Genomic DNA, 18,281 nt, shown 5'->3' on the forward strand with positions numbered 1-18,281 from the left:
ATCCCAGCACTTTGGGAGGCCAAGGCGGGTGGATCACCTGAGGCCAGGAGTTCAAGACCAGCCTGGCCACCATGGTGAAACCCTGTCTCTACTAAAAATAAAAAATTAGCTGGGCGCGGTGGTGTATGCTTATAATCCTAGCTACCCGGGAGGCTGAAGCAGGAGAATTGCTTGGACCCAGGAGGCGGAGGCTGCAATCAGCTGAGATCACGCCACTACACTCCAGCCTGAGCAGCAAGAGTGAAACTCTGGTCTCAAAAAAAAAAAAAAAAAAAAAAAAAAAAAAAAAAAAATTAGCCTGAGGTGGGAAGATGGCTTGAGGCCGGGAGGCAGAGAATGCAGTGAACTAAGATGGCAGCACCACTGCACTCCAGCCTGGGCCATAGAGCCAGACCTTGTCTCAAAACAAGTAAGTGTAAAAATAAAGAGAAAATAATTCAAAATGGAAAGCTGAAGGACAAAAGGGCAAGGGCATTGCCTCATGAATAGGAGGAAGTGATACGTGTGAAACTTGGTGAGATTATTGACAATCTCACATTTGAACACGGGAGTCATCAGAAGGACTTTGCCTTGCTCTTCCTTGCCATACTTCACCCTTGCCTTGGTGTTTTCTGGAGGGTCCTGATGTTTCTTCCTCTGCCCAATACAAAGGGGAGTCTAGTGATTCAAGAACTTAAGAGCACAGAGAGGTGAACAGTAACTCGTAGCAGAGGCACTCAGGAATCCTGTGCACACACAGATGAACATCATGGGTTACAAATGAAGTCTTTTGGTCAAAATTAACTTTATTTTTCAACTTCATAGGGATGTGATAACAAAATTGGCACACACAAAAAGAATACTGATATTGGGCCTGATTTAAAAAATGCCTCTGGCCAGGTTGTAAAAAAGTGAAAGTAACAAAGATAAACATAGAAGTTGGAGTTGTAAAAAAGTGAGTTGGAATTCATGCTGCCATGATCTACTTGACCAGAGGCAGCTTTTCCTCTCTAAGCCTATTTTATATCTGTCAGTGGATTTGAGATCACTCATTTTACCATTGTAACATTCCGAGCCTTTTGTCACTGTGTGTCCCTTTGTGGCCATGTAAGAGACCACACTGCTGTAGGCTGAGAAGGCCACAGTGGTTCAGGTGCTTTGAGGACTTGGTCTTGGCTCAATAGAGCCTCACTGGTGTTTGCTCAGATTGGGCAGCCTATGCCCAAAGCTACTTGGCTAAACAGGCTGGTGACACCACACCCAAAAGGTGGCAAAGAATAGGAATAGGAAGGATCAGCACCTATTTTGGAGTGAGGAAGCCAATGGAGGTACAACTCCTCAATTCTAAGTTTTTGTTGTTTTTTTTTTTTTTGAGACAGGGTCTTGTTCTATCACCCCAGGCTGGAGTGCAGTGGTGTGATCTCAGCTCGCTGCAGGCTTGACCTCCTGGGCCCAAGTGATCCTCCTGCCTGGACCTCCCAAAAGTGTTGGGATTACAGGCATGAGCCACTGCATCCAGCTTGCTTCTAATTTTCCTACCCAGGCTGTTTTAAACCTAGTTCTCCAGCTAAGTAAAATGTGCCCAAATGGAAAACATCTAAATCTTCTGCAGCCCATTCTTCCTGTGTCTTTGTGTTGACAAACCTCTAATCTTCCATGTCTTTGTGTTGACAAACCTAACCTTCCATGTCTTTTTGTTGACAAACCTCTAACCTTCCATGTCTTTGTGTTGACAAACCTCTCCATGGGTGGTGCATCTGACCCTATCCCAACATGCCTTAGGACGCTCATCTCCTTGACTGTCTGCCATCCCCTCCCAAAACTAAGTGGAGGCTCTGTCTTTTCCTCCTAGTTTGAGGTTCTCTTCTCCCAGTGTCTAAAATGATCAATATGCCTAGAGTAGATGCTGCTGAAGAGGCAAAGTAGTAATCCTGCCACCTGGAAGCAAAGGCTGTGGGTTGGAGGGGGAAGCGGGTGTGAGGGCTGATGATAAGCCCTAGGAGGCTCCTGAGTCATATTCCTATGTTTGCTCTCTGGAGAGATGGGCTAAACTGTTTATCTTTTAAAAACCAGATGATTAAAAAGTTACATTTTAGTATTATACTGATAGGAATATAGGATAATCTCTTCTAAAGCCTATTTGGTTTCCAGAAGAGTTAGATACTTGAACAAGAGTGGACAGAGTAAGATACCTAGCTACAGCAATAGAAATCACAAACTGTTCTGTGGTTTTAATCTTCCTATTTCTGATTTAGAAGTATGAAGTGATCATATTTAATCTTTCTGCTCCTGCTCAAAAATAATTCTATAACATCATTTAGGTTATAGAAAGTTTCTACTTATAGCCCTTACATTCTTTATGACCGAAATCTGTGTCTTTCCTCATGACTGATAATTATCTCCCAATTTGGTCACTTCTGCTAATTGCTATTTTATTAAACTTGAAATTTTAGGTTGGGAAGCAAAGGGAAACCACTGGGCATCCCCTTTGTTTCTAGGGAGAAAAGACTAACTTGTCCCATCTGCTCACTTGCTTATGGAGCTAAAAGACCCCCAGTCCTAGAAGTGTTCTGTTCCTGAGGAGTGGTTAAAGAGGTGAAAAGAAGAGGTGAATTAAAAGATGAAAGAGCTTTTTAAATAGCCAGCAACTCTCTCTACCATCTGTTTTGGTAAGAGCTAGCACCTCTTGTTCTCTTTAGACCCTGGAGGGAATAAACCAAAATCAGTGGTTCCAGGATCCTTCAGAGCCAAAAGACCCCAATACCACAGTCTTGACCTTTGCCCTGCCTGCTTCTGAAACTGGAGAATGGCATCTCCCAGCAGCCTAAGGCAGACATAGGTCATACCTATCCCTGGGCAGCGAGCTGAGCTCCCACAGACTGAGTTGTGCTGGATCTCAGAATTCTAAGCATTAATGTTTCCTTGCTGTTATAATTCTTGCTCATCAGGTTCAACTGCCTTATCCCTCTGAGGTTTGCAAATGAGGATGGAGAAGCCACTGAGAAATGGACCAGTGAGCTGAGCTCACCTTTTATATGAGTGGATTTTTTTTTTTTTTTTGAAATGGAGTCTTGCTCTGTCGCCCAGGCTGGAGTACAATGGCGTGATCTCAGCTCACTGCAACCTCCACCTCCCCGGTTCAAGCGATTCTCCTGCCTCAGCCTCCTGGGTAGCTGGGATTACAGGCGCGTGCCACCACGCCCGGCATGAGTGGAATTTTAGTGTTAAATCTCTTCCTGACTCTGGGTTCAGTAGGTCCCTCCTCTTCTGTTACCCTCCTGGTTCTCTCTGTTCACCAACTACCTGCATGTGCCAAACTAGAAAAAGGAAATAATTTACACCCCTGCCCCAACAGCTCCTTCCCTCCTAGGGACTTCTGTGTCCACCCCCCACTTTGGGTCTTAGAACTGTGGCTAGAAGATAAAAGGGAGGAGTTTGAGTCAGAGGCTTTATGTCCCCAAACCCAACCCCCTCTGAGTATTAAACTATAGTGGCATTGTCCCTCAAGCTCCCCTCTGCCTTGGCTCCAGAGTCTTCCTCCTCTTCTTCCAGACTGGGCAGGGTGGCTGTTGTTATTGGTGAAGATAGGCATCTAGCCAGAGCTGCCCTGACTCCTTTAGTGAGCTGCAGGGACAAAATGGGGGCAGACAGTGAGGGAGACAAGCAGAGTTGAACCCACCGGAGATGGAGCAGTGAGGTTAAGGCCTTCTTCCATCTGGAGGTTTTCCTCCCCTCTACTTTAGAGAAAGCTAGCTTGGGCCATGGTACTGAGGGGAACCCCAATGAGGGCAAAGGCCTGACCTGGCCACAGGTCCAATAAAGAATCCTGCCTTTGCCATGGTGAACTCCATCCCACACGACTGGGAACACCTTCTGTTCACTCCCCACCCTACATGTCATCATTTCCATTGCCCTGCCCTCTTCCCTCCCTACTAGCCATCTTCCTGGTCTCAGATACTCACTGGATGATGTCGGCGAAGGCTGACAGCAGGGGCTTGGACTGGTACTCTATGCCATGCTTGGCACACAAGGACTGCACCAGGGGAGCCACTTTGTGGTAATTGTGTCGAGGCATCGTGGGAAAAAGACTTTAGGGAGAACGGGGGAGTCAGTGGTTCCTGCTTCTCTGCTCCCACCTGTACCCAACACTTACACCCTCCCCAGGACCCTGCTTCCCCAGGCTCCCTACTCACTGGTGCTCAATCTGGAAGTTGAGGTGTCCACTGAACCAGTCATTGAAGGCAGACTTGTGGACATTGCATGTGGCCTGGAGCTGGCGGAAAAGGTCAGGGGAGAGCATGTTGAATATCAGATGGAAAGGCCAGCCCAGCATTCTCCAGGTAAAGCTGGCTGAGGAAGGGACATGAGACTGTCTTGGTCACTCCCTTCACATGGTTGCAGAACAAGAGCCTCAGGCTAATGAGAAAATGCTGTTTGGGGGACTTTTTGTTTTTGCTGTTTTCACCTACGCATCCTTTTCAATAGTTGTGTTATGCTCCAGTCTTCTGAGTGACTGTCCCTTACCTGGGTGGAAACCCAGTCCATGTTCCGGTCATGATCAATGTGCATGGGAATATGGTTCATCTGTGTCACCCACACAAACCAGTTGCTTTCCAGGAACCTGTTAGATGTATTACACAGACAAAAACAGTACACACAGAGCCCAGAATTCTGATTCCCCCCTCAGATAACTGCTCCAGCCTGTCTACTTTCCCAAGCCAACTCCTGAAACACCCACTGTTACCCAAAGCCCCAGCACGGCCCCTAGACCAGACTGGTCACTCCCCAACATTTCCTTCACCAGTCCCTATCCGCCCCCACCGAATACTACCTGACTATGAAGAAAAGGCCCAGGAAGGCTTTCAGCCCCAATAGTGGCACATAAGTGAGGAAGAAGCGGACGTAGAAGGTAATCATCCAGGCCAAGTCCTATAGTGAGAAAAGCAGCGAGCATAACAGTCACGAACAACTCTTCCTCTTCCTCTCAGCAGCTCTTTGTTTGCATGGTGCAGCCATTCTCCTGGTTATCCAGACTCACTCATCTTCAGCTTCTCAGGGGTCCAATCCTGCAGTATCTAGTGCCACTGCTCCTTTCTTCCATTCCCATTGGCACCCCCCAGCCCTTCTTGCATGTCCCCTTCAAAAGTACCAAGGCCTACAAGGTCTCTTTGCCTCTAGCTCTTCCTAGCCAATCTAAATCCTTCAGCATGCCGCCAAATGAATCTGCCAGGACCATGGCTCAGTCCATGCCAGTGCCCTGATCAAATCTCTCATCACTGAACCAAGCACCATACTCTTCCCCTGACACTAGTCCTCCACAATATGTCTGGTGGTCAAACTTACCCCTCATTTCCAGCTTCTCTGCTCAGAGTTCATCCCCCCTGCTCCACCTCTGCCTGTCAGAAACCCTGCCCAGCCTCAAGGCCAGCTAGAAAAGTGACTTCACAAAGCCAGGTGCAGTCAGGCCCCTTTTGGAGTCCCCAGAACCTATTGCCTGTACCTCTTTTCTGATTAATAACCACATTCTGCTTCATCAGAAGTTTCCTTGAAAGTAGGTATTGTCTCTCATTCATCTTCCCCATTCCCAACTCAGCCCCCTGGCATTATGCCCAGTACAAGAACCTCTGGAGACACTGACCGCATGAAATTACACATTGGGAATCAGGCTGCCTGCTAAGCTCAAATCATTTCGTCCCACTTAGAGATAAGGAGGATCTGTGTCTGGTTCTATTATTTTGTTCTAAATTAGGCCTAGAGTCAGTCTCAAGTTTCCCCTGGGGAACCCCTATCCCCCACTCTGGGTGCTGGAGACAAGGATGTGGGCTTCTTGGGCCATGGATACTCACCACCCACTTCTTTCGCTGGATAACAAAATAGAAAATATACCACTGGAAGTAGAGAGGCAGCAAGGCTGGGGGCCCAACTGGGGAGGAAACCGAGACAAAGAGGAGGCATGAGCACAGGAAGGTCATGAAAGGGCCAGTTGATGTTGGGAGAGATGGCCTCTAGCAGGGGGCTGCCTCTTCCAACCATCCCTTCTGTCTCCCCTCCAGGTGCTTGAGTGCTCTGCAATCCACTGGAACCAGCAGGCACTGAAGGTGGGCATAAATCCAAGTCTGGGGAAGGCAAAAACTCCCAAGAGGATGCCAGGGAAGGTGAGGGGTGCGAGTGGCACTCTTCAGTGACAGGTGCTTGGGAACTCAGGCCCCACGCATGGGACTTGCTCTGCTCCCACACCTTTATTATTTTTCATTTTTCTTCTCTTTTCTACATACACACTCCAAGGATCCCACACTTTTAAAAGGGTGCTAATACTCTCTTACTTACCTTGGCCACAGCCCTGTCCCTACAGTCATCTGCCCTTTGTTCCTGGCAGCTCCACCATGCAGGTGAAGGGGCAGGAGCAGGAAAGTGTGTGTGTGTTGGGAGGGACCCTGTGGATCCTTCACAGGCTGTGAAGCTCACTTCCTTAAACTAGGGAGATGGGCTTGTGCCACCCCAATCTGAAGCCCTGGAGGTCAGCTGTGGGACGGAACAGAGGGGCCTCTCTTGAAAGAAAACTGGGAGTTGAAGAAGTGTTGCATTCTACATGCTTCCTCATTTCCTTTTCTGTAGCCCTTCTCTGTGGCACCTGATGCTACCCATAACTCCTAGCATGACAATGCTCACCCATGGCTCCTCCATCTTGATGTGCCATGGATTCTAAAACTATTTCTTCCAGAGGTCTCTGCTCTACCCTTCTGCCCCATCGCCTTTCTCTATTCGTGATAGTTGGTGATAGGCAGTTAGGATGAATTCCTTCAAACTAAAATAAGATCAGTGGACTCCTTCCCTTCCTTCTTTAAAAAATTTGAAAATTTAAAGGCGTTTAAAGCTCATTTTAGGCATTATGGAGCAGAGTTGTTGTTGTTTTAAGAAACAAGATCTCACTCTGTTGCCCAGGCTGGAGTGCAGTGGCACAATCGGAGCTTACTGCAGCCCCAAATTCCTGGGCTCAAAGGATGGTCCCACCTCAGTTTCCTTAGTAGCTGGGACAGACTTTTAAAGCTGGGAATATGTGGCAGTCATCAGAAAGATCTTCTTCGTTCTAACAGCTCTTCCATTCTCTCCTCAGGACCCATCCTTCCAGAACTATCTGTACCTTTGTTCCTCTGGGGGTTGGACTGGGCTCTACCAGGTTACCTTGGCCCATCTTGACAAAGTTTAAGATAAGGTTGAGGGGCCGGGCGCGGTGGCTCACGCCTGTAATCCCAGCACTTTGGGAGGCCGAGGCGGGTGGATCATGAGGTCAGGAGATCGAGACCATCCTGGCTAACAAGGTGAAACCCCGTCTCTACTAAAAATACAAAAAATTAGCCGGGCGCGGTGGCGGGTGCCTGTAATCCCAGCTACTCGGGAGGCTGAGGCAGGAGAATGGCGTGAACCCGGGAAGCGGAGAGCTTGCAGTGAGCCGAGATTGCGCCACTGCAGTCCGCAGTCCGGCCTGGGCGACAGAGCAAGACTCCGTCTCAAAAAAAAAAAAAAAAAGATAAGGTTGAGGATAAAGCAAGAGGCCCCTCTACACCCCAAACACCCAGCTTCCCAGTGGAAACTGGGGTTGGATGGGAAGAACTAGTTTGCCTTCAACCAATCATCAGCCTAACTTCACTTCGCTCAGCTGAGATGGCAAACTGCTGTCATGCAGGGAGTAACTGGGGGTGGGAGTGGGGTACTTCCTCTAGCCCCTTTCCTTAAAATACCATAATCCCTTGGACAGCCACATCCTCCTCATTCCCTCAGCATTCCCTCCTGAGGCAGCTCCCCTGTGTTGGATGGGGACACTCACTTAGGAAGAAGTATTTGTGCTGGTGGTTGTACGGCATATATTTTTTCTTCTGTTTCCCAAGCTGTGAAGAAAAGCAAACACATGAGCATTCGGAGACCAGTGATTCCTCCCTCTGTGACTTGACCTTTCCTTGCTTGGAGGTTTAGGCCTCCTCCAGGGCTGACAGCTTGTTGGTGCTATTGGAAAGCTCCAAGAGGCCCAGCCTTACCTCCAGCACATGGAACATGAAGCCCTAGACTGTAATCTGCAGAGTGTGTCACACCATGGCCTGCAGCTGGATGGCCCATGCTCACATGAGGGATGTGCACAGCACAGAGTCTACAGGACCACAGGCCCTCTTGTGTTCATTCTCTTTGTCATGAGGTTTCCAGGCCCCACTGCCCTCTCCCCTTTCTCCCATCGTACTTTTTTGTTTATTTTTTAGACGGAGTCTCGCTCTTGTTGCCCAGGCTGGAGTGCAATGGCACGATCTTGGCTTACCACAACTTCTGCCTCCCTGGGTTCAAGCGATTCTCCTGCCTCAGCCTCCCAAGTAGCTAGGATTACAGGCATGTGCCTCCACGCCCAGCTAATTTTGTATTTTTAGTAGAGATGGGGTTTCTCCATGTTGTTCAGGCTGGTCTTGAACTCCCAACCTCAGGTGATCCACCCACCTCAGCCTCCCAGAGTGCTGGGATTACAGGTGTGAGGCAGTGCGCCCGGCCGCCATCGTACTTTTTCACACCAGAATCTCCATGGACAACCATATCTGCCCCTATACAGGTTAAGTATTCCCTCTATATCCAGCCCCTAATTCTCCCCATCAAAATCTTTTGGTCTCTTGACTTAAACATGAGCTTTATCAAATCTCCTGAAGGCTAATTCGAGTTTGGCAAATATTTCTGGAAAAGACACCAAGAACAATTTGGCAATCTGAAGGTTCCAGCAGTTTTCCCCAGTAGGTGGTGGTTATTTTTTATAAGCCGAGCTGCTGAAGAGACAGGCTGGGGCCACCATGTCAACCAGCCAGTCTAGAACCCCTGATGTGGGCTCACAAACAAGACAGCAAAGTTCTGCTGTCTCACTCCATGACTATGTCTGCATCGCACTCCAATTAGTTCAGGTAACCAGACAACCACAAGGGCACAAGAGGAGCACTCAACCCCTGAGCAGAGCTCTAGCTCACCCTTCCATGTGTCCACAGTTCATTTATTGAGAGTTTATTCTGTACAAGACACTTCAGCTAGATGAAACATCCTTTCTACATTAACAGATTCAAGTTCTTCAGCACCTACTGTGTGCCGGGCTATGTTCTAGATGCTTAGGATACAGAGGTGAACAATACAGACTTCCCACCCTCATGGAGCTTATAACCTTAGGGGATGAAGCTGGTGATAAATTTGTAAACAGAGACCGGGTGCAGTGGCTCATGCCTGTAATCCCAGCACTTTGGGAGGCTGAGGTAGGCGGACTGCATGAGCCCAGGAGTTTGAGACCAACCTGGGCAACATGGTGAAACCACGTCCCTACTAAAAGCACAAAAATTAGCCAGGCTTGGTGGTACGCACCTGTAGTCCCAGCTACTCAGGAGGCTGAGGCAGGAGAATCTCTTGAACTCGGGAGGCGGAGGTTGTAGTGAGCTGAGACCGCACCATTGCACTTCAGCCTGGGTGACAGAGCGAGACTCTGTCTCAAAAAAAAAAAAAAAGATCTGGGACCCAAAATAGCCTTTCTTCTCCCCGGCCAGCTATGAGGCTGAGGATGGGCTGCCTGTTAGTGAATGCCTGGGCAATAGGCTGCTTGGTTCCATCCCTCTGGGGATGTTGATGCCTGTGCTGACCCCATGACATCCACGTCAGTGCCTCCCAAAATTTTTGGAGGACAAGGAGGGGCAGGGGACACTGCCCTAAATAGAACCCTTCTGACCACCAAGGGTCTAAACATAATGGGACAAGTTATAGGGATCATAAAGGCATTTGCCATTCAAGGAGGAAGCAATGGATGGGGCTCCTTTCCATAACAGTTCCACAATAGGAAGCCCCCAAGCAAGGGCGCCCCTTTTTCAATTTTTTCCTCAGTTAATGTTGCTCGAGATGGGGTGATTCTCACCACCACATCCAGGTCCTCAGCAAGCGTTGCTTACACTGCCTCCAAAACATATCCCAAATCCATTGGCTTCACCTGCTCCTCCGTGGTCTGGTCTGGACTCGCTCCAGCCGCCTCACTGAGGTTATATCTGTGATTATACCTACCCTCTATAATTCATCCTCTCCACCTCCAGCCAGAGCAAGCCTTTTAAAGTGCAAAGCAGATTGCTGTACCCACCAGAAACCCTCCTGTGACTCCCCATTGCTATTGGAATAAAACCCAAACTTCTTACCACACCCTTACCATGGCTTTCTAAGGCCCTACATGATCTGGCCCCTCCCTAGTTTTCTGGTCTTCTCATTCTCTCATTGCTTACTGTCCCTGAACATCCGGGAGCCTCTGTACTTGACTGTTCTCTCTGTTCCAAATGTTCCTTCCCTGAATTTTTGCAGTGTTGGCCCTTTTCATCATTCAGGTCTCAGTTCAGATGTCGGCACCCGAAGGAGGCCATATCTGATCATGACTACCTCTCAGTTTCTGTCATATTTTACTGTTTTTAATCTGTAAGTTACGTTGAACTCTGTTTACAATTTTTTTTTGGTTTTAATCTTTTTAAAAAATTATTATTTTTACACACAGGGTTGCGCTGTTACCCAGGCTGGAGTGCAGTGGCGTGATCATACTCACTGCAGCCTTCACCTCCTGGGCTCAAGCGATGCTCCCACCTCAGCCTCCCAAGTAGCTGGGACCACAGGCACATGCCAACTGCGTCCCTTCATTCTCTGTTTTTGATGTCTGCTGATAGGAATTTCCTGAAAACCCAAGTACCAAGAAGCAATAAAGGTAGTGGTGTGAGACTGTTCCCTTCCACTTAACCTGCCCATGTCTTTTTTTTAAACCCTCTGTAGTGACAGTAGAAATGCACAAGCCCCATGCCACTGCCCAGCAAATAACCACACTGCCCTTGAAGCAGCCATGGGAGTCAGACGGGGGACAGGGCTGCTTCGTCATCTGCATAGTACTGACCATAATGGTATCGGACATGTAACAAACCCAAGTCCATGCTCATGATGGGAAAATAAGAACATTATGGACAGGTGGGGCATGAGCCTCAAGCTATGAGCTCCTCATGCCAGGCCAACCAGTGCTGCCAAAGCCCTTTCAAAGTTCTCATGGCCAGGGGCGAGAGGAACGCCAGGCTACCTTGAACTCATGCCTAGAACTGAAATGTGTTTTAACGACAATTTAATTCCTCGCAAGCTGAAATGTCACAAAGTGGAGGAGGTGGACCTGGAAGAACTCTGCAGCCTACAGCCTTGGGACAAAGGGCTTTAAATGAACTTTTCAAAGAATTCTGCTGGCCTTTTAGAACCTTCCATTGCCTAATGCTCACTAAAAGCTCACCAGATCTCCACCCCCAGGCATTATTCCTTCAGCAGCTACATTATTTCTGCTTACAACTTCAGACGACATCTCAAACCCAACGCTGACCACCCAGGAAATCAGGCTGGGGATCAGCAGGGTGGGAAGAAGTACTCAGTGAATGAATGTTCCAGATATTGGACATGAAAGAAGAGTAAGACAGTCCAGCCCTGGACAGAGAAGACTGTGACAAGAAGGATACCTAAGTGTGGGAGAGAAATACAAAGTGCAAGGGGAATACTTGCCTGGGGCAAGAGTGTCAAAAAAGCACCTCCAGGAGGTGCCATCAGCACCTTCAAGGATAGGCTATCTCATCATTTGGATCCTTCTGGTCATCCGCTGGATCCTTTGCAAAATGAGGTGCCTTTTATGCAGTAACGGTTTGCTGACTGAACTCTCTAGGGAGGATGGTGACTCCCTCCTGGGCAGCCCCCATCTATTGCCTGTTGCCTTCCAGAACTTCCAAAATGGCAAAAGCCCCAGCCAGCCCAGCCCCAGTGTCTTGCCCACACTGACAACATCGTGGGCATCTTCCCCAACTCCCCTATGTTGGCTGCCTCCTATTCCCCAAGACCTTTCCACTGATACCTCCACGCACCTCCACAGAGAGGATCTTCCCCAAGGCAAAGAAGAAGGGATGCATGTTGATGTCTGGGTCTTTGCGGAAGCAGTTGGGCTTGGCATGGTGCTGGAAGTGCATGTGGTTCCACCAACTGGCGGGGGCCCCCTACAGAAAAGCAGGGACACGAGTATGAAAAGCTTCCCCCAAGGCAGCCCTTCATTGCCTGGAGTTTTAGAGAGCTCCTCCCCATCCCACTGACCTTCAGGTGGCCAATCACAAAATGATGTAGCAGATGGTTCCACTTTGAGGTGCTGAAGACCGACAGGTGCCCAAAGTCATGCTGCAGCCAGCCAGCCTGGGCCTAGGTGAGAAGAGTCAACACTGAGAGCAGCCCACCAGCCCCAGTGTCGCCTTCACTGACCTCGATGCCTCCTTCAGCCTCTCCCACTTCCTTCATCTGCCAAGGCCTGTGATGCACCTCAGGAGTCAGGAAACATGGGTCCTAGTTCTGCCTCTGCCACTGACTCACACGTGAGTTGGGGCAAATCACCATCCCTTCTCTGTTCTTCTGTTTCGCCAGCTCCGAAGCTCATGACTTTTTTTTTTTGAGACAGTTTTGTTCTTGTTGCCCAGGCTGGAGTGCAATGGTGCGGTTTCAGATCACTGCAACCTCCGCCTCCTGGGTTCAAGTAATTCTCCTGCCTCAGCCTCCCAAGTAGCTGGGATTACAGGTGCCCGCCACCAAGCCTGGCTGATTTTTTTGTATTTTTAGTAAGAGTCGAGGTTTCACCATGTTAGCCAGGCTGGTCTCGAACTCCTGACCTCAGGTGATCTGCCCACCTTGGCCTCCCAAACTGCTGGGATAACAGGCGTGAGCCACCATACCTGGCCTGTTTTGAGAGTGTCGCTCTGTTGCCCAGGCTGGAGTGCAATGGTGCCAACTCGGCTCACTGCAACCTTCGCTTCCCAGGTTCAAGCAATTCTCCTGCCTCAGCCTCCCATGTAGCTGGGATTACAGGCACCCACCACCACTCCCAGCTAACTGTTGTATTTTAATAGAGACGGGGTTTCACCATGTTGGCCAGGTGGTCTTGAACTCCTCACCTCAAATGATCTGCCCATCTTGGCCTCCCAAGGTACTGGTATTACAGGCGTGAGCCACTGTGCCTGGCCTTTTTGTATTTTTAGTAGAGGTTTCACCACGTTGGCCAGGCTGGTCTTGAACTGAGATCAAGTGATCCGGCCACCTTGGCCTCCCAAAGTGCTAGGATTACAGACATGAGTCACCACACCTGGCCTGAAGCTCATGACTTATGATGGACTGACATCTAGAATACAGAAAGGACTGAAACATGAGCAGAAGGCTTGCCAAATGGGTCCTGACAGTCAAGAATTAGCGCTCAATCATTATTAACATATTGGGCAATGTCAGTGGTGGGGAGGGAGCCAAGCTTTGCTAAGAAACCAGAAACTTGGCTCCTGGCACAGGTGGGCTGTGGCAGAGAACAAACCGCATAGGAAGAAGAGAACCCTTGGAGAAGCAGCTAAAAAGGCAGTGAGAGAAATGAAGATGTCCATGTGGCTAAAGAGCAGACAGGTCAAGACAGCAGAATGCATGTTCCTGCACTCACTCCTGCATACCTTCAGATCTGCCCTGCTTGGAGGGCAGGCACTCTTGGCCTTCCTCAAACACCCAAGGAGCTTTCCCCAGGGATGCTGAGCATTGCTGTGCACTTGACAAGCCAAAGGCTCTCACCTGAACTGCACTGAGCAGCACCGCACAGAGGAGGAAGGGCAAAAAGGACGTCCCAAAGACCCAAAGGGTGAGCCAGGCTGCACCATCCAGCAGCAAGATGTGCAGCAGGTACAGCAGGAAGAAGACATGGTTGGCCTTCATGAGCCCCATCCGCTCCACTGTGGCCCGCAGCTCCCGGAACTCATCTGTCAGCTCTTTCTGCAGAAGAGGAAGAGGAGCTGTTATTCTTCTCATCTGCACCCCAATGCTACTGGAGACAAGGGCCCTCTCAGGCTCAAGGACCTCCCACTGAGGTAGCTGTGGGAAGTCCACAGTCCTAGGCAAAGATACCACGACAATGAGGATGACAGGAGGAGGTGCCATGGGATAGTGCCTAAGAGTTCAGGGGACTAAGTCCTTGCTCTGCCATTTACTAACTGTGTGATCCTTGGCTGTGTTGCTTAACCTCCCTGAGCCTGTTATCTCATCTGTAAATGTGTAAGAGTTATGAGTTTATGCTTGGTGCATAGTAAGTGCTCATATGATAACAATGATGATAACAATGATGGCAGCCATGGTAGTGGCAGCCTTGGGGGAGCCATAGGTTGCAAAGCCATGCTCCCTTGGGCCTGTGACCTCATGACTATGCAAGAGAAGCAGGGACCTCAAGACTCCCCAGAGCTACTACTGACTGTGATTACTATGACTGTGATCCCATCTAGACTCTCCTTCCACCCCCTCTCTGTCCCCCTCAACAACCAATAGTTGCGACATAGCAAACACAGGGTCTTACATTCTTGGTGGGCTCAAAGCTGGGCTGCTCTGGAGACAGTTCTCCAATCAGGAGAGAGTTCATATACTTCTTCACAAGGCCCTTGTTGATGTGGAAGGCCACAAAGGGATCCTGCAAGTGCCGGGAGAAGATGAAAGGTGAGGGAGCCAGCCCCCTGGACTCCGGCAGTGTTCGCACCAAAGGCCATCCTCCTGCCCGCCAGAAGGCTGTACCCAAGTTGAAGTGAGAGGTGAAGCCAGATGGACTTCCTGGGTCGAGTGCAGACTTGGAGAACTTTTCTGTAGCTAGAGGTTTGTAAAATGCACCAATCCGTGCTCTTTAGCTAGCTAGAGGTAAAATGGACCAATCAGCACCCTGTAAAATGGACCAATCAGTGCTCTATAAAATGGACAAATCAGCAGGACATGGGCAGGGACAAATAAGGGAATAAAAGCTGCTCCCGGCCGGGCGCGGTGGCTCACGCCTGTAATCCCAGCACTTTGGGAGGCCAAGGCGGGTGGATCACGAGGTCAGGAGATCGAGACCATCCTGGCTAACACAGTGAAACCCCGTCTCTACTAAAAATACAAAAAATTAGCCGGGCGAGGTAGCGGGCGCCTGTAGTCCCAGCTACTCGGGAGGCTGAGGCAGGAGAATGGCGTGAACCCCGGGGGAGGGCGGAGCCTGCAGTGAGCCGAGATCGCGCCACTGCACTCCAGCCTGGGCGACAGGGAGACTCCGTCTCAAAAAAAAAAAAAAAAAAAAAGGCTGCTCCCCCTCACACCCCCCAACGTCCAGCAGCGGCAACCTGCTCGGGTACCCTTCCACGCTGTGGAAGCTTTGTTCTTTGCTCTTCACAATAAATCTTGCTGCTGCTCACTCTTTGGGTCCACGCCACCTGTAAGAGCTGTAACACTCACCGCGAAGGTTCATGGCTTCATTCTTGACGTCAGCGAGACCACGAGCCCACCTGAAGGAACCAACTCCTGACACAGAAGCACAGGCCATCTCCCTAGGCCCAGCTGCCTTTTGAGGGTGCTCCCAGGTGTCCACAGTTTAAGATCACCGAGTATCTGCTCTAGTTAGAAGGATGCATCAAGGAATGGGAAGCATTGGCTGAGGGGAACCACTAAGAAACACCTGCCTGGGCTGGCCTTTCCCCTGGGTGTGTCCACAGACAGCTTTTGCCCAAGAATTTCAGTATAGGTGAGAAACAGGAGAGATGGGTGGGGCTGTGTCGGGCGTTGGTTCCTTCCGGCGGGTATGGTCTCACTGACTTCAAGAATGGAGCCGTGGACCTTCCCGCTGTTATAGCTCTTAAAGGAATAACACTCTTTGCAGACCCAAAGAATGAGCAGCAGCAAGGTTTAGTGTGACGAGCAAAAGAACAATGCTTCCACAGCCTGTAAGGGAACTGGAGCGGGTTGCAGCAGCTGGCTGGGGTGGCCAGCTTTTATTGTCTTAGTTGTCCCTGCCCACGTCCTGCTGATTGGCTCATTTTACAAACCTCTAGCTAGCTACAGAGCGCCAATTGGTGCGTTTTTACAGAGCACTGATTGGTGCATTTTACAAACCTCTAGATACAGAAAAGTTCTCTAGGTCCCCATTCGACCCATCAACTCCAGCTGGCTTCACCTCTCAGGGCTATGAGACTTCCGTCCCTTCTTGCGGGTCTTTCAATAAGTCCCTTTCCTCTCTTAGCTAGGGTTCTCCAAAAACCACGAAGAGGAAGACTTCCCTACGTCCGAACTGGGGCACTTCTGCGTTTCTTCCCTTTCCCTCCACCGTTGTTCTGGGTAGGGCTCCACATTTCCCTAAGCACTCTGGCCACCCCCTGCCCCAAGGCAGCTACTTTGGGTTGTGCAAGGTAAGGTCCATGGCGATAAGATTCACGTTGGCAGGTCCGGCAGCCCCGGGCCCTGTAAGTGATGCGGCGTGTGGGGCGGGGGCCGGGGCGGAGCCGGCGGCCGGTGGCACCACACATACGGACCAATCGCCGTCCCCGCCGCGGCATTCCCGGCCCCAAATCACACTGCGGGAAGCTCCAGCGTTGGTGCCTGTTTCGTCTGCGCATGCGCCGGGACACGCCTGCGCCCTTGGCCGCAGTCAGGGCTCCCGAGTGGTCACTCTGGTTGACCCGCGCAAGCTCTGGCCTCGCCCACTAGGCTGGTCGCGTCAGAGGGTGGGGCGGGTCTTCGCCCCGCAGCGTCTAAGCTCTGCTGCGACGTTATGGGAACCTGGTGACCCGCGGCACACTCTGGGACGCCAGGGTAGTGGATAGGGACAGTGGAGGGCATCACGCTGCAGGGCACGGGATCAGAGGGGGATGCAAGGGGAGGGGACGCCATTCTGGCCGCCAAGGGGGAAACGCGGTGAAGGGAACGCCCCGACTTTCGAGTCCCTAGGACTGAGTCCCCAGGACTCCAACCCAGCAGAGAGGCGCCGGGGCCTTAGCTCTGAGGGCTGTGGTCTAGAAAGGGAAGCAGCAGGCCTGGGGCTGGGGCGCGCGCCGACCCCGCAGTGAGACCAAGGGAAGAAGGGACAGGACCCCGCGAAGGGCCTACCGCCCCAGAGCGTAAACAGCGGTCCGCTCCGCGGAATAGCTGAAGACCTCGCTGGCCTGCGGCTCAGTGGCCTCCCCGGCGATTCGAGAACAGCTCTGGGGGTCCTCGCTAAGTGTATGCCATTCCCAATCCCTTATGTACGCCAGCGGCCGCTTGCCCTCCCCGGCCAGCGCTGTCCCTTCCGCGTCCTCCAGTCTTCACACGACGCAGGGGTCCCCAAGGCAGCGGTCTCCCCAAGCTTCCCGTTTCAGCCCCATCCTCGAGAATGGGCTCCTTTCCTGCTCCCTCTCCGCTCCTGCTGGCGAGTGGAGACCGGCACCTAGGTCCAGACGCGGCTGCGCTGCCTCTCCTAGCCATCGAGACAGGATGTGACTCCCTCCCCTGGCCACTGACCCCCTCCCTCCCCAGGCGGCCTGCATCCTTGCTCTCCTCCCTCCTAGCCTACCCAGCTCGGGGTTCTGTCCCCGCCCAGAGACCTGAGGCTCGGGGCTGCAGATGGAATGCACGGCAGGGAGGCGGGACCCTTTGTTTGTGTGTGCGTGTTGTTGGCCTCCATCCCCACTCCCCAGACTCCACTTCTCCAGGCCTCTCTCCCGCCTTTTCATCCCGCATCCGCAGGACACCCAATCACCGGGCAACAGGTATGATCAGGCGCCTCCGGGCTTTCCTCCGAATTAGTCGGTGTTTGGCTCGGAGTGCGTAACTCTGTCTCCCCTGCACTCAGCCTCCGGTCCCGCCCTCTCCTGTGCCCCCGCCTGGCTGCGCTCACCGTGGCATCCTGCCCGGCGTAGTGGCTGATGACCCGGGAGCCCCCTGGATGCCGGCGGGTGAACTCGCTGATGTTGTACACCTTACGGTCGATCACTAGCCACCGCTCCTCGCACCCTGAGCGCTGGGCCACCTCGTCCCAGGTGAAGTAGCGCGGGGTAGGTCCCTGAGCCGCGGTCTCGGCGGCCACCGGGTCGGGGGCCATAGCTGGCCTGGCGACGCCGCGCGCCGGGCCAGCAGGGGCTGTCAGGCGCGTGCTCGGGGTCCGCGGGCTCCAGGAGTGGATTTGCTGGCGCGCGCCCAGAGCCAGCCGCCTGCGCGCCGGGTTTTCAGCACCGCAGGGCAGACCGGCGGGCCTCGCAGCGCGCGTTCCCATTGGCCGAGCCTCGTGGCGCGGGGAGCGAGATCCCGTCCCCCGGTGGGTCTTGGGCAACTCACAGCTGGGCTGCCAACACGCGCCCCCTCGCGGGCTCCCTAAAGGCGTCGCCGCCGGATTCGACTTCCTGACGTCAGGCGGGCATCGCGGCGTTGGCTCCCAGGGGGCGCCGCGGTAGGAACAGCGGTTCTAGTGCAGGCCCTGGGTGCGG

General features: G+C 51.7%; 2 protein-coding genes and 1 non-coding gene across 7 annotated transcripts in view, besides 3 other annotated features; 1 reads left to right on the forward strand and 2 right to left on the reverse strand.

Moving 5' to 3' along the window:
* Positions 1–767: 767 nt before the first annotated feature.
* On the reverse strand, positions 768–18,144 carry FADS1 (fatty acid desaturase 1). Of its 3 annotated transcripts, none has more exons than NM_013402.7 (12): positions 17,696–18,144; positions 14,384–14,494; positions 13,612–13,809; positions 12,115–12,216; positions 11,892–12,020; positions 7,805–7,865; positions 5,826–5,902; positions 4,811–4,908; positions 4,504–4,600; positions 4,173–4,252; positions 3,942–4,067; positions 768–3,603 (listed from the first exon to the last, which is right to left on the reverse strand). In NM_013402.7, the coding sequence occupies exons 1-12, from the start codon at positions 18,068–18,070 to the stop codon at positions 3,552–3,554; spliced, it is 1,506 nt and encodes a 501-aa protein (NP_037534.5). In that variant the 5' UTR covers positions 18,071–18,144; the 3' UTR covers positions 768–3,551. The 3 variants fall into 3 exon arrangements, with proteins under 3 accessions (NP_037534.5, XP_011543324.1, XP_047282891.1); XM_011545022.3 differs by lacking the exon at positions 17,696–18,144 and adding an exon at positions 16,215–16,391; XM_047426935.1 differs by lacking the exon at positions 17,696–18,144 and adding an exon at positions 15,998–16,292 and having other exon boundaries at positions 14,384–14,709.
* Positions 16,226–16,345: a silencer, noted in NCBI's record as "silent region_3399". NCBI's record gives its function as "represses an Ori minimal core promoter by ATAC-STARR-seq in GM12878 lymphoblastoid cells {active_cell/tissue: GM12878}" and the evidence as "EXISTENCE:reporter gene assay evidence [ECO:0000049][PMID:35858748]".
* Positions 16,302–16,381, reverse strand: MIR1908 (microRNA 1908). Its single transcript, NR_031729.1, has one exon. It is a non-coding gene; the product is annotated as a microRNA 1908 (primary transcript).
* Positions 16,448–17,345: an enhancer, noted in NCBI's record as "NANOG-H3K27ac-H3K4me1 hESC enhancer chr11:61582779-61583676 (GRCh37/hg19 assembly coordinates)". NCBI's record gives its function as "activates a minimal SCP1, AML or CMV promoter by ChIP-STARR-seq in naive H9 embryonic stem cells {active_cell/tissue: H9 hESC(naive)}" and the evidence as "EXISTENCE:reporter gene assay evidence [ECO:0000049][PMID:30033119]".
* The window catches only part of FADS2 (fatty acid desaturase 2), a 51,152-nt gene continuing 50,214 nt past the window's right edge, over positions 17,344–18,281 (forward strand). For 2 of the 3 annotated variants that reach the window (XM_047427889.1, NM_001281501.1), the window contains exon 1: positions 17,344–17,567. Coding sequence is in view for 2 of the 3 variants with exons in the window: in NM_001281501.1 (NP_001268430.1) it covers positions 17,427–17,567 (141 nt within the window). In the remaining variant the exon portion in view is untranslated. Of the gene's footprint in view, positions 17,838–18,281 lie in introns of all 3 variants that reach the window. The other variant, NM_001281502.1, reaches the window with a different exon arrangement.
* Positions 17,866–18,065: a silencer, noted in NCBI's record as "silent region_3400". NCBI's record gives its function as "represses an Ori minimal core promoter by ATAC-STARR-seq in GM12878 lymphoblastoid cells {active_cell/tissue: GM12878}" and the evidence as "EXISTENCE:reporter gene assay evidence [ECO:0000049][PMID:35858748]".

Source organism: Homo sapiens, chromosome 11 (assembly GCF_000001405.40).
Source record: "Homo sapiens chromosome 11, GRCh38.p14 Primary Assembly".
NCBI classification, from domain to species: domain Eukaryota; kingdom Metazoa; phylum Chordata; class Mammalia; order Primates; family Hominidae; genus Homo; species Homo sapiens.

Bases quoted from the DNA above. Each gene is read 5' to 3' on its own strand.
- FADS1 (NM_013402.7), bottom strand. From the start codon at position 18,070: ATGGGAACGCGCGCTGCGAGGCCCGCCGGTCTGCCCTGCGGTGCTGAA. The intron at 13,810-14,383 runs GTAAGACCCTGT...CCTCTTCTGCAG, and splicing joins GCTTTGAGCCCACCAAGAAT to AAAGAGCTGACAGATGAGTT. The intron at 4,601-4,810 runs GTAGTATTCGGT...TACATCTAACAG, and splicing joins GGCCTTTTCTTCATAGTCAG to GTTCCTGGAAAGCAACTGGT.